We start from the raw sequence: 15,381 nt of genomic DNA, 5'->3' as shown, positions 1-15,381 counted from the left end.
CTTGCTAAATTATTCCAAGGGCTTCAAAAGTGTTTGCCCCTGTTTCATGAAATTCCACCTCTCGGAACTGACCCCTGCATGAAAAATTAGGAAGAGATTTTATTGTAACTCTATTGCGGTGACTTAAGTCAAGCTCCTGTTCAACAAATTTAGAGGAGTACGCCTTGGTTTCTGATTTTTGGCTAATAGAAGTTGAATCTTTTAATTGGTTTTCCATTCAGTTACCTACTGGCTAAAAGATTTTTGCAAGTCAGACTTTTCTGAATACTGCACTGCTCTTGTGTTTGTTTGGGCTGCTGTGACAAAATACCTTAGACCGGGTAATATATAAACAACAGGAATTTATTGCTCACGGTTTTGGGGGCTGGAAAGTCCAAGATCAAGGTGCCGGCAGATTCATTGTTGAGGGTTCACTGTCTGCTTCAATGTGTTACTTTCTTGCTATCTCCTTACCTGGGTGAAATGGGGGAAGGCAGCTTCCTTCAACCTCTTTTATAAAGACACCAATCCCATTTATGAGGGTAGAGTCCTCATGATAGTATCACATTCCCATAGGCCCCACCTCTTGACTATCAGATTAGGTATTAGCTTCCAGCATATAAACTTTAGGGGACACTAAAGTTCGGACCACAGCAGGCTTATTTCTAGTGTCTACTCCCACTTTACCTATGGAAGTCAAATGCTCCTGTACTTGCTTTCCTTCCTGGATATCTTTGCATGTGTTTTAAAATTAACATATAGTAAAAATGAGATTTTTATGGAAAAACTTATATATTTCTATCAATTTTTTAAATATGTGGATTTGTGTAACTGTCACCACATGCAAAACGTAGAACAATCCCATCACCCCCCAAAAACTCCATCATACTGCCCCTTTGTAATCACATCCACTCACAACCCTAAACGCCATTCAAAATACCTAGAAGAGAATGGAATTTGGTATAGGTGAGATAGTACTCTCTGTTTGTGCTAGAATGAAACCCACTTGTTCACAAGTTAATCAGCAGTTGAAAGTCTCGTCTGAGAAAGATAAGAGCCATCAGATCTTTTTAACTGACTAACTTCCAAAATCATTTAATCCTCGCCTCAACCTTGTCCCTTGTCCATGGTGAGTCAAAGTCAGGCTACACCAACATGTACACAATGTCTACATGGACCAGATTTGTTAAGGTCCAAGGAGTCTGGTATTTTTTTTTCCTTTTTTTTTTTTTGAGACAAGGTCTTGCTCTGCTGCCCAGGCTAGAGTGCAGTGGCACGGTCATAGTTCACTGCAGCCTCTAACTCTGGTGCTCAAGTGATCCTCCCACCTTAGCCTCCTGAGTACCTGAGACCACAGTTGTGCACCACCAAGCCTATCTAATTTTTTTATTTTTTGTAAAGATTTATAAATAAAAACCCTTTATCTTTTTTACTTTATCTTTTGTACCCTTTATCTTTATGACTGATAAAGCTGTTGGGATAAACTGGCTTTAGATCTGAAGCCAAATGGCATTGCTAATAATTTTGTTTGTTTTTTTATTTTTATTTTTATTTATTTATTTATTTTTGAGATGGAGTCTCACACTGTTGCCCAGGCTGAGTGCGGTGGCACTATCTCGGCTCACTGCAACCTCCGCCTCCCAGGTTTAAGCCATTCTCCTGCCTCAGCCTCCTGAGTAGCTGGGATTACAGGCACCCACCACCATGCCCAGCTCATTTTTTTGTATTTTTAGTAGAGATGGTGTTTCACTATGTTGGCCAGGCTGGTCTCAAATGCCTGACCTTGTGATCCACCCGCCTCAGCCTCCCAAAGTGCTGGGATTACAGGGCTAATACTTTTTGTTGCCTGAGCTGGTCTCAAACTCCTGGGTTCAAGCAACCCTTACACTTTGGCTCCCCAAAGCACTGGGATTACAGGCATGAGCCACCAGGCCCAGCTGAATCTGTGTTTCTTAAGGTTCATCCTGCCTATATAACATTTTACTTTCCTCTAGACACAGCCTGCAGTGAGCTGCTTAAGTCAATTCCCCTCCTATTATCTGTGTTTGCTCAAGACTAAGGTGTAAAGCCTTCAACACTTGTCAAGTTATGATAGTCTACTTCTCACATGTTATTTTGGTCCCCAGTTTGACTCCTGCGTATTTCACAAATTTCTTAGCCCTACAGATGAAGATATTGGGTTTTAGGAAGCCCATAAACAATATCTACTTATTTCTGCAGCTAGATTCTGGAACGAATTAAGAGTAAAACCCAAAAATTAGGCAGCTGGAGATCAGGATATTATTCTTTATTACTGATAAAACTGTTGGGATAAACTGGTTTTAGATCTGAAGCCAAATGGCCTTGCTAATACTTTGCCCCTGAGCCAGAGAGACTTACCCATCTAATTATAAACACAGCTGGACATGTGGCCAGGCACGGTGGTTCACACCTGCAATCTCAGCATTTTGGGAGTCCAAGGCGGGAGGATCACCTGAGGTCAGGAGTTCGAGATCAGCCTGGCCAACATGGTGAAACCCTGTCTCTACTAAAAATACAAAAATTAGCTGGGTGTGGTGGCAGGCACCTGTAATCTCAGCTACTTGGGAAGCTGAGGCAGGAGAATCGCTTGAACCCGGGAGGCAGAGATTGCAGTGAGCAGAGATCATGCCACTGCACTCCAGCCTGGGCGACAGAGCAAGATTCCATCTCAAACAAACAAACAAACAAACAAACAAAAAACAATACAGCTGGGCAAGCAGTCCTCTGTTTCCATCCCCCACTCCCCTACCCACCCAGATAGAAGAAACGGCCAAGTGGCAAAGTCCCTCCAAGTGTTGAGGAGTCAAAGAAAGAGAGAAGACAAGATTCAGCCAATCATGCCCAAATTCTGCTTTCAAACTAATCCACCTGATGAATCATGCTCCTCCCTTAGTGAAGACTGAACAAGGGAAGCTAAAAAGTGAGGAGCTGTAGAGTGGTCAAGACCAGTGGAAGTGAAGCAGTGTCGTTGTCTGGGGTAAATACCTGAGGTTCGTTGTCTCACCCTAAGGGAATTGAGCACTCAGACACACAAGAAGTGGGTTAGGAGTGGAGGTTTAATAGGCAAAATAAAGAGAAATGAGAATAGCTCTCTCTCCTGAAGGAGGGCAACTGAGTGGGGCTTCTGGTCCACAGCAGAGTGCACAGGTTGTTTTTTGTTTGTTTGTTTGTTTGTTTGTTGAGACGAAGTCTTACTGTTTTCATCCTGGGCTGGAGTGCAATGGGATCTCAGCTCGCTGCAACCTCTGCCTCCCTGGTTCAAGCAATTCTTCTGCCTCAGCCTCCCGAGTGAACATTTTTTTCCTATTAATCCCAGGTCTTTAGACAAACTCAACCAATTGTCAACCAGAAAATGTTGAAATTTACCTATAATAATAGCAAAGCTGCCCACAAATTCTTTGCTATTCCTCCAATTTTGAGGTGGAGTCTAATCCCCTTCTAATCTGAACTGGCCTTAGTATTTGCTCATCCAATAGAATACAGCAGAAAGGACAATTGACCATTTTCTACAACCATGCCTTAAGAGACTTAAGGCAGCTTACAGTGCTGCCTCCTCTCCCCTGGGACACTGATTCTTGAAATCCATACTGTGAGGAAGCCCAAGCAGGCATGAGGAGGCCCATTTGGGGATAGATAAAGACCCCTTACCAAAAGACCAAAGCTGAACTCCCAGAAGACCTCAGCCATGTGAAGGAGCGCCCATGGAAATAAAATCTCTATCTCTATTTGGGGGTAGTTTGTTGCACTGCAAGAGATAATCAGAACAGGGCCTTTAAAAAATTCCTTTTTGTGTATTAATATCCTATGGCTGCTGCCCTAACAAAATACCATGAACTGGGTGGCTTAAATATTATCAATTAATTATCTCACAGTTCTGGAGACTGCAAGTTCAATGTTAAGGTACTGGCAGGGTTGATTTGATTCTAGGGCCTCTCTTCTTGGCTTTGCAGATGGCTATGTTCACTCTATGTCTTCACATAATCTTTCTTCTGTTCTCACACATCCCCAGTATCCCTTTGTGAGCCCAAATTTCCTCTTCTTACAAGGACTCCAGTCAGATTGTATGAAGACCCACCCTAACAGCCTCATCTTAACTTAATCATTTTAACTCTCTTTATTTTTTATTTATTTTTTAACTTTTTATTCTTTTGACATAGGGTGTCTCTCTGTCACCCAGGCTGTAGTGCAGGGGCATGTTCTTGGCTCACTGCAACCTCCACCTCCCCGGTTTAAGCGATTCTCATGCCTCAGCCTCCTGAGGAAATGGAATTACAGGTGTGCGCCACCATGCCCAGTTAATTTTTGTATTTTTAGTAGAGACAAGGTTTTACCCTGTTGGTCAGGCTGGTCTTGAACTCCTGGCTTTGAGTGATCTGCCCACCTCGCCCTTCCAAAGTGCTGGGATCACAGGCATGCAACACCATGCCCTGCCCACTTTAACTCCTTAAAAACATCTCCAAATATGGTTACATTCTGAGGCACTGGGAGTTAAGTCTTCAACATATGGATTATGGGATAAATACAATTCAGCCTATAAATTGTGGATTAAGGAGTTTCAAAATAGAGCAAAATTACACATATGTGTTCAGTGTACCATTTTTTTCCGCAGCAGTCCCTGATTTGTTTTTCCACATACAAACTCAGCGCCCAAGTGTCCATGGATTCAAAACAACACATCAAAACATAATAAGCCCTTTTAAAATGGCTTTTTTTTTTTTTTTTTGAGATGGAGTTTCGCCCTTGTTGCCCAGACTGGAGTGCAATAGAGCGATCTTGGCTCACTGCAACCTCTGTCTCCCGGGTTCAAGTGATTCTCTTGCCTCAGCCTCCCAGGTAGCTGGGATTACAGGCATGCACCACCATGCCCAGCTAATTTTTTTATTATTATTATTTTTAGTAGAGGCAAGGTTTCTCCATGTTTGTCAGGCTGGTCTTGAACTCCTGACCTCAGGTGATCTGCCCACCTCAGCTTCCCAAAGTTCTGGGCTTACAGGCGTGAGCCACAGCGCCCGGCCTGCTTTTAAGCCTAGTTCATTTTACCCTTTACGTAGAACAGAGCATCTGTTTAATGAACGCCAAGCATAAGGCAGGAAATATGGTATACAAGATGAAAAAGGAAGTTTGCCCATAAATCATGTGGGTAGAACCAGTTTTTTAAACAATGCATAAGGGGCAAATAATGTTTATAGTCATTCTGGAATCACAAATCTGGGAAAATTATCCAGTAAAAGCACTGCAAATCTCAAGTCCCTTATCATATAATAAGGAGCCTTCTGAGTGATTGTATGTGACACCTGCTAGGCCAATTTATTAGCAATATTAATAAAGGCAATTATTTGATGTTATGCAGTTAGCTTTCTGTTTCAATTGCTTATTGCTGCAAAAGAAAAGCCTTAGAGGCTTAAAGCAATAAGAACCACTTGTTATCTTTAATTATGTGGGTTATCTAGGCAGTTCTGTGGTCTGGCTTGTAGCCTTCTGTGTGATTGCAGACACCTCGTTGGTCGTTGGGCCTGAAGTCACCTGGAAGCTGCATTAGAATAACTTTTCCTGTCCATGGGGTCTCTCCTCATGGTCCCTCTCCCAGGATAGCTGGAGTTCAACATGGTGGTTCAGAGCATCCCAAAATACAGAAATGGTAGCTACCTGGGCTCAGATAGCACAGAACATGACTTCCCCTGCCTTCTACTGGTTAAAGCAAGTCAGAGGCCAACATCAATTCATGATGGGAGGGGACTCTACAAAGGTGTAACTATCAAGAGGTTCACGGACCCCATTCCTCAGCTGCCCCAAGCTCCTTCTGGACGTTTTCAGTAAATCACTTCATCTTCTTGAGCTTCAGCAATTGCAATGGTCTTCTATTTGCTCTCCCTATTCTACTCTCACCCCTCTTCAGTCCATTCTCTTCTGTAGCCAGAAAGATCCCATACAACATTGATCGGGATCAGTTGTGGTGTCTCACACCTGTAATCCTAGCACTTTGGAAGGCTAAGACAGGAAGATCGCTTGAGGCCAGAAATTTGAGACCAGTCTGGGCAGCATAGTGAGACCCCATCTCTACGAAACTAAAAATGAAAAATAAAATTAGCTGGGTGTTATGGTGCACACCTGTATTGCCAGCTACTTGGGAGGCTGAAGTGGGATGATCACTGGAACCCAGAAGTTAGAGGCTGCAATGAGCTATGATTGCCTCACTGTACTCCATCTTGGGTGACAGAGCAAGACCCCAACTCTAAAAAAATAAAATAAAATAAAACAAACGAACAAAAACCTCCAGTCAAGTTGGCTCTGAGGTCAAAACCCACTGCTGCTTCCCGCTAAGAATAAAGCTGCAGTTGTTAGTTCCTGCAACATCCCACATAGTCCTCCCACTCTTCAGTCTACCCCACATCACCCTCCAATCTCATCTTCTATTCCCTTCCTGTATTTCACTCTATGCAGCCACACAGGCCTCCTTGTTCCTCTTTAAGGACTCCAGGCTTTCTCCTTCCTCCATCTTTTCACTTGCTGTTCCCTCTGCTTGGAATGCTGTTCCCTGCATATTCCCCTGACTCACTCCCTCATCTCCTTCCAGTCTTTACCCAAATGTCACTTCAGTGAGAACTTCCCTGACCATCATCTTTTATTTATTTATTTATTTATATTGAGATGGAGTTTCACTCTTTTTGCCGAGGCTAGAATGCAATGGCGTGATCTCAGCTCACTGCAACCTCCGCCTCCCAGGTTCAAGCGATTCTCATGCCTCAGCCTCCCGAGTAGCTGGGATTACAGGTATGTGCCACCACACCCGGCTAATTTTTGTATTTTTAGTAGAGACTGGGTTTCTCCATGTTGGTCAGGCTGGTCTCGAACTCCTGATCTCAGGTGATCCATCCGCCTTGGCCTCCCAAAGTGCTGGGATTACAGGTGTGAGCCACTGCTCCTGGCCTGACCATCATCTTTTACATAACTGCCTCCCACTTAGTTGTCATTCCATGTCCCCATTCCTTGCTCCACTTTTCCCCTCAAAGCACTTATTGCCACCTAAGAAGCTGAATAATTTTCTGACTTATTTAGCATACTTTCTTCCATGCCCACATGACTGTAAGCTCTTTGAGGGCAATGGTTTTTTATGAACAACTTTATTGAGATATAATTTACATGCCATAACATTTACCCTCTCACAGTACATAATTCCATAGCTTTTTTGAGTATCATAACAGAGTCATGTTATCATCATCACTATCTAATTTGGTTCATTGTTTGATCGATCGACTGGACTTTGGAGATCCTTTATTGTTCCCACACTGCAACAATGAAACCTAGAGAAATCGAGCGATTGCCCAAGGTCACCTGGCTGACTAATGACAAAAACTGAGCTGGAATCCAGGACTTTAATTCTCAGGCCAGAACTCTCCCAACTCAGGATTTCAGCTTTCTTCTCCGATGGTGCCCTGATTATTTTATTTTATTTTATTTTTTTGAGACAAAGTGTCGCTCTTGTTACCCAGACTGGTATGCAATGGTGCGATCTCAGCTCACTGCAACCTCCGCCTCCCAGATTCAAATGATTTTCCGGCTTCAGCTTCACGAGTAGCCGAGATTACAGGTGCACACCACCATGCGCAGCTAATTTTGTAATTTTTTTTTTTTTTTAGATGGAGTCTTGCTCTGTCACCCAGGCTGGAGTGCAGTGGCGTGATCTTGGCTCACTGCAAGCTCCGCCTCCTGGGTTCACGCCATTCTCCTGCCTCAGCCTTCCGAGTAGCTGGGACTACAGCCGCCCGCCAGCACGCCCGGCTAATTTTTTTTTTTTGTATTTTTAGTAGAGACAGGGTTTCACCGTGTTAGCCAGGATGGTCTCGATCTCCTGACCTCGTGATCCGCCCGCCTCGACCTCCCAAAGTGCTGGGATTACAGGCATAAGCCACCGCGCCCGGCCTAATTTTGTATTTTTAGTAGAGATGGGGTTTCTCCATGTTGGTCAGGCTGGTCTGGAACTCCTGACCTCAGGTGATCTGCCTGCCTTGGCTCACTGCAACCTCTGCCTCCCAGGTTCAAGTAAGTCTCCTGCCTCACCCTCCGGAGTAGCTAGGATTATAGGCACCATCACCACGCCTGGCTATATTTTTTTGTATTTTTAATGGAGACGGGCTTTCACCATGTTGGCCAGGCTAGCTGAGTATCTTTTCATGTGCTTATTAGCCATTTGTATATCTTCTTTGGAGAAATCTCTATCAAGTCCTCTACCTATGTTTTAAGTGGATTATTTATCTTTTATTGTGAAGTTATAAGAATTCTTTTACATACTGGATATAAGTCCCTTATCAGATATATAATTTGCAATTATATTTTTCTATTATGTGGTCACCTTTTCACTTTTTTTTTTTTCCTCTGAGACAGGATCTTACTCTGTCACCCAGACCAGAGTGCAATGGTGCAATCACAGCTCACTGCAGCCTTGACCTCCATGTGGTTGGAGAACATACTTTGCATGATTTTAATTCTTTAAAGATTATGGCGACTTATTTTATGTGTTAATGTATGGTATCTCCTGAGAATGTGCCATAAGTACTTGAGAATAATGTGTATTCTGGTATTGTTGGGTAGAGAGTCCTAGGTGGTTTGCAATGCTGTTCCAGTTTCTTTTTTCTTTTCTTTTCTTTTTTTTTTTTTTGGGACACAGTTTCACTCTTGTCGCCCAGGCTGGAGTGCAGTGACATGATCTCGGCTCACCGCAACCTCCGCCTCCCGGGTTCAAGTGATTCTTCTGCCTCAGCCTCCCGAGTAGCGGGGATTACAAGCACACCTGGCTTGTAATTACCACACCTGGCTGATTCTGCATTTTTAGTAGAGACAGGGTTTCTCCATGTTGGTCAGGCTGGTCTTGAACTCCCGACCTCAGGTGATCCATCCGTCTTGGCCTCCCAAAGTGCTGGGATTACAGCCTTGAGCCACCGTGCCTGGCCTGCTGTTCCAGTTTCTATTTCTTTGCTTCTTTGATCTTCTGCCTGGTTGTTCTATTCATTATTGGACACGGGTAATCACATCTCCCATTTTTATTGTTAAATCTATTTTTCTCCTAGATTTTCTCAGTTTTTTTGCTTCAGGTATTTCAGAACTCTGTTATTAGGTGCCTAAATGTTTATAATTGCCATATCTTCTTTATAAATTAATTCTTTTAGCATCATAAAATATCCTTATTTGCCCTAGTAATAACTTTTGACTTACAGTCTTTTTTTTTTTTTTTTTTTTTTAGATGGAGTCTTGCTCTGTCATCTGGGCTTGAGTACAGTGGCACAATCTCAGATTGCTGCAATCTCCGCCTCCCAGGTTCAAGCGATTTTCCTGCCTCAGCCTCCTGAGTAGCTAGGATTACAGGTGCCCGCCACCATGCCCAGCTAATTTTTTTGTATTTTTAGTAGAGACAGGGTTTCACCATATTGGCCAGGCTGGTCTTGAACTCCTGACCTCAGGTGATCTGCCCTCCTTGGGCTCCCAAAGTGCTGGGATTACAAGCATGAGCCACTGCGCCCAGACTTAAAGTCTATTTTGTCTGGTATTAGTGTGGCCATTCCAGACCTCTTTGGCTAGTGTTCATATAGTCTCTCTTTTTCATCCTTTGACTTGCTTATTTATGTCTTTGAATCTAAGGTGTGTCTTTTATAGACAGCATATACTTGGATTTTTTTTTTTTTTTTTTTGAGATGGAGTTTCACTCTTGTTGCCCAGGCTGGAGTGCAATCTTGGGATCTCGGCTCACCACAACCTCCACCTCCTGGGTTCAAGTGATTCTCCTGCCTCAGCCTCTCGAGTAGCTGGGATTACAGGCACCCTCCATCATGCTGGGTTACTTTTCCTAATTTTAGTAGAGACAGGGTTACACCATGTTGGCCAGGTTGGTCTCAAACTCCTGACCTTAAGTGATCCGCCTACCTCGGCCTCCCAAAGTGCTGGGATTACAGGTGTGAACCACTGCGCCTGGCTGAGGCTCTTAATAGGTACTCTATGGTCATCTGTTGAGCAAAGAAGTAAATCCTCATATGAGAAATGGGATGACAGATCCCTCTCTCACTACTGTACAGAGTTATGGGGGTCGTCAAATATAATCACTGAAGTTCAAGTCTCTTTAAAATGTTAACATGTTATGTAAATTTAAGTGAGTAGTGAAATCCTATTTAACTCTAAGCCCTGGGCCAAGTTCCAGAAGTCTAATTGGGTCATGTTTAGAAGGCAAAATTGTTACCGAAAAGGGGTCCAGATCCAGATCCCAAGAGAGGGTTCTTGGATTTCACAAAAGAAAGAATTCAGAGCGAGTCCATAGAGTAAAATGAAAGCAAGTTTATTAGGAAAGTAAAGAAATAAAAGAATGGTTACTCCATGGACAGCATAGAGCATTCCCAAAAGTAGGAGGAGGAACGCATCCACCCTAGGTACAATACTTACTTATATACAGGATTAAAAAAAAAAAAAAGATCATGGGGATAAGTGCTCTGCTACAAGGGTTTGTGATAAAGGATTAATTTTCTTAATGACTATATTTTGCAAGATTCGATATTATTATCTTTAAAGCAAAATTAGGAATGCTTCTGTTCTCAAGACAGTGGGATATCAGGACACCCCCACATCTGGGTGTGTTTAGTAAACTTTATCAATCTGCCCCCTTAACCATAACCATCTAGAGGCTAGGAATACCTAACTTTCTGGGAACGCAGCCCAGCAAGTCCCAGGCCCATTTTTTTTCTAACCCTCACTCCAGATGGAGTCACTCTTATTCGAACACCTCTGACAAAATTGCTATGTTTGAAATATAACAAACAGAAATTATTTCTGGACTTGTCTCTTCCTCCACAGTCTACCTCCAGTCAACTCCATCCTCAGCCTTTCTGGACTCTTCTTTCTCGGGTTCAACTTCTCTCTTCCTTCTGTTCCTCATGAAGCCAGATTCAAAGTTAGTGCAAGCGTATGGCCTTTATAAGCTTCAAGCCAGTCCTCAACAGAGGTCATTGTAATCCCTTATTCTCACACACATGCTATGGCTAAAATTGGGATAAAGGGGCTAGGAGAGACCGTGCTTGGACCTTGATCCAAAATGACAGGTTTCAGTATAGTATTCTAAAAATTATCTTAATGGTTTATTGGGCACCAACTCAATGAATGAGGTAGCCCTAGGATGCCTTATTGGTTCTCCTAACCCTCCTCACTACTCTATAAACAATTACTTCATTAGATGCCTTTCAGAACATTTGTAGAGGATTTTCTTTCCTGGATTCTGCCTCCAGCTCTCAATGGGCTTCCTCCCTTTCTCTCTCAGGCTTGCGGGGATGCTGGCTTCCCACTCCTGCTCCTTCCCCTACTTCCCGAGTGCATCAATAGCCCCTGTTGTTCCCTTAATCCTATTCATATTCGTTGGTTTCTAATGTAACCTCATCTCCCTGTGACTTCCCCCTAAGGCCAACCAGTGCTGTCATAAAAGCAGTCCCCCCAGGTCCTTCTCTGCTGCCTGAAATCTGGCCAAAAGGTGACTTCATCACCCATTCCTCACCCAACAGTTATTGGAAAAATAAATATACCAGTGTTTTGTTTTGTTTTTGTTTTTTAACAACAAAACTCCTGGAAAGAGGGGTCTTTACTCATATTCTCTGATTTTTTTTTTCATCTCAACCCCATGGTATGGTTTGGCTGTGTTCCCACCCAAATTTCATCTTGAATTGCAGTCCCGTAATTCCCACTTGTTGTGGGAGCGAGCCAGTGGGAGATAATTGAATTGTGGGGTTGGTTTCTCTTATACTGTTCTCATAGTAGTGAACAAGTCTCACAAGATCTAATGGTTTTATAAGGGGTTTCCCTTTTTTCTTGGCTCTTTCTTCCTTCTTTGCCTGCTGCCTCCTCCATGATTGTGAGGCATCTCCAGCCACGTGGAACTGTGGGTCCATTCAACCTCTTTTTTTTTTCTTAATAAATTACCCAGTCTTAGCAGTGTGAGAACAGACTAATACACCCCACTTCTCCATCATATTTTCATCCCCACTCTTCCACAAATGCTACTTGTGTCAGTATCATTACTGACCTCCGTGTTGCTAAATGTATGGACCAACTCTCAGTCTTATTCTGACTTATTGATGGGCAGCATTTGACAGAATCGAATCCTCCTTCCTCCTTGAAACACCATTCCGAGGTTTAGGGAAACCTATAAACCATGGAGGTCCTGGGGCTCAGTCGATGGGCCTCTCTTCTTCTCCAGTGATCTTATTCCCTTGGTGAATTTATCCAGCCACGTGGCTTATATACAATCTGCATACTGATCTATAATTTCCATCTGCATCCTGGGCCTCTCCCTGGAGTTTCAGCTGCATATATCTACCTTTGCAATGTCTTCACTTAGGTCTCTCATGGACATCTCAGGCCAAACTCCTACTATTCCATATTTTAGTAAGTAGCAACTCGATCGTCTGATGCTTAGCCTAAAAACCTTGACATCATCTTTGGCTCCTTTCTTTCTCACATCCCGCATCACTAAATTTTGTCACATCTACCTTCAACATATATTCAGATTCTGACCTCTTCCCACCACCTCTACTGCTACCATTGCGGTACAAGGGTACAAGTCATTGACATGTAAACATGTCCTTGTTCAAAAATACGTCCCTTTACACAAGTCTCCCACCAGCTACCACCCAATGCATGGTTAGTTTTCTCTCATTATTTTGGTCTCAGTTCTCTTATAAATTTTTATGTTTTTATTTATTTATTTTTGTGACAGGGCCCTACTCTGTCACCCAGGCTGGAGTGCAATGGCATGATCAGACCTCACTACATCCTCCAACTCCTGGGCTCAAGAGATCCTCCCATCTCAGCCTCCTGAGTAGCTGGGACTACTGGCACGTGCCACCTTTCCTGGCTAATTGTTTTAATTTTTTTTATAGAGATGGGGTCTCTTTATGTTGCCCAGGCTGGTCTTGAATTCCTGGGCTCAAGCGATCCTCTTGGCTCGGGCTCCCAAAGTGATGAGATTACAAATGTGAGTCACCATGCCCAGCCTCCACTCTCTTTAGAGAGGTCTTCACCAACACACCCATGTGAGGTTGCTCCCACTTCACCATCATCTTTCTCCAGCCATTACACAATTTTATTGCTCCCCTATTTCTTTCCTTTTTAAAACAGAGTTTCACTCTTGTTGCCCAGGCTGGAGTGCAATGGTGTGATCTGCCTCCTGGGTTCAAGCAATTCTCCTGCTTCAACTTCTGCCTCCTGGGTTCAAGTGATTCTCCTGCCTCAGCCTCCCAAGTAGCTGGGATTACAGGCATGTGCCATCATGCCCAGCTAATTTTGTATTTTCAGTAGAGACGGGATTTCACCATGTTGGTCAGGCTGGTCTCAAACTCCCGACCTCAGGTGATCCTCCCACCTCGGCCTCCCATAGCGCTGGGATTACAGACATGAGCCACCGTGCCCGGCCCTACTTCCCTATTTCTTATCACTATGTAAAAAATATATTTTAGGCTGGGCGGGGTGGCTCAAGCCTGTAATCCCAGCACTTTGGGAGGCCGAGGTGGGAGGATCACGAGGTCAGGAGATTGAGCCCATCCTGGCTAACACGGTTTAACCCCATCTCTACTAAAAATACAAAAAAATTAGCCGGGCGTGGTGGTGGACTTCTGTAGTTCCAGCTACTCAGGAGGCTGAGGCAGGAGAATGGCATGAACCTGGGAGGTGGAGCTTGCAGTGAGCCGAGATCACGCCACTGCACTCCAGCCTGGGCGACAGAGCAAGACTCCATCTCAAAAAAAAAAAAAAAATATATATATATATATATGTATATTTTACACATTTATCTGTTTTTTCTGCTTCGTCTTGTAAGTGTGTGTAACTTCTATGCTGTGAAGTACCAAAAGCCTGGTACAGGGCTCACTTGTATTATGACTGTCAATAAATATTTGTTATATTACCAAATACGTGCTCTATAAAGCCCTTCTGTTTCTAAGAATATTGTAATGAATATACTAATGAATATTAGTGGTTTCCTTAATCCTTATGGTGTTGTGATCAGAAGGAAATGAGATAATGGCATGTTGAAAGCACTTTGTCAACTATGAAACATTATCTGAATATAGAAGGTGTTTGTGTCTGGGCGTGGTGGTTCACACCTGTAATCCCAGCACTTTGGGAGGCTGAGGCAGGTGGATCACCTGAGGTCACGAGTTCGAGACCAGCATGACCAACAAGGTGAAACCCTGTCTCTACTAAAAATACAAAAATTACCCGGCATGGTGGCAGGTGCTTGTAGTCCCCACTACTTGGGAGGCTGATACAGGAGAATCGCTTGAACCCGGGAGGCGGAGGCCACAGTGAGCCGAGATGGCACCATTGCACTTGAGCCTGGGCGATGGAGCAAGACTCCAACTCAAAAAAAAAAGGAAGAAGGTGTTCGCATGAATAACCATTCAAGATTTCCTAAAACGAATGTCTTCCCTGAAGGAGGAGGACCCTTCTATTTGGTCCTGGCCAAGGCAAGCTCATAAACTGACAAGGGCACATGTGTGCACTCAAGACTAAGGGCAAAGCTTGCATCCTATGTTTATGTTACATTGTTCTGTAATGCTTGTTTTGGCTTTATTATGTGAGTTCAAAATATCAAAGTATAAAAAACTCAGTAGGGGATGGCCCCTACTTAATGGAACGGCCAGTTTCCTCTGCTTTGAAATTGGTCCCCAAAGTTTGCTTCCCAGGAGCCTTATATGTCAGGTGTATGAGGAAGATCATCTTAGTTCAAATCTTTTCCCCTAGACATTCTATTTTTTTTTTTTAAATCTTAGGTGAAAGAGAAAATACACGTACATACTCGGCAGTATGAATGTATGTGGGTTTTTCCCCTCCTCTTTATCATTTTAAGGAAAGCTTCCCCTTTATAGCCAAAGTCAAGAGTAAGGTTGAGGCAACATTGAAGGGGAGAAATGCTACCTTCTTTTCGTTTTAAAATTTTATGGCTGGGCACGGGGGCTCACACCTGTAATCTCAGCGCTTTGGAAGGCCGAGGTGGGTGGATCACTTGAGGCTAGGAGTTCAAGACCAGCCTGGCCAACATGGTGAAACCCCATCTCTACTAAAAATACAAAAATTAGCCAGGTATGGTGGCACATGCCTGTAGTCTCAGCTACTCTGGAGGCTGAGGCATGAGAATCACTTGAAACTGGGATGTGGAGGTTGTAGTGAGCCAAGATCACACTACTGCATTCCAGCTTGGGTGACACAGCAAGACTCTGTCTCCAAAAAATAAAAAATAAAAAAAATTTATTCCAAGTGTTTGTTTTGACCTTAGGATTTTCTGAGTTTTTTTGATCAGCCGGTGTATCTAGGTCAGACATTTCAGATGTGGTTTTGCCATGCACCATGGGCCGTGTC

This window comes from Homo sapiens, chromosome 7 (genome assembly GCF_000001405.40).
Source record: "Homo sapiens chromosome 7, GRCh38.p14 Primary Assembly".
In the NCBI taxonomy this organism is placed as follows: domain Eukaryota; kingdom Metazoa; phylum Chordata; class Mammalia; order Primates; family Hominidae; genus Homo; species Homo sapiens.
This window is presented reverse-complemented; position numbering follows the sequence as displayed.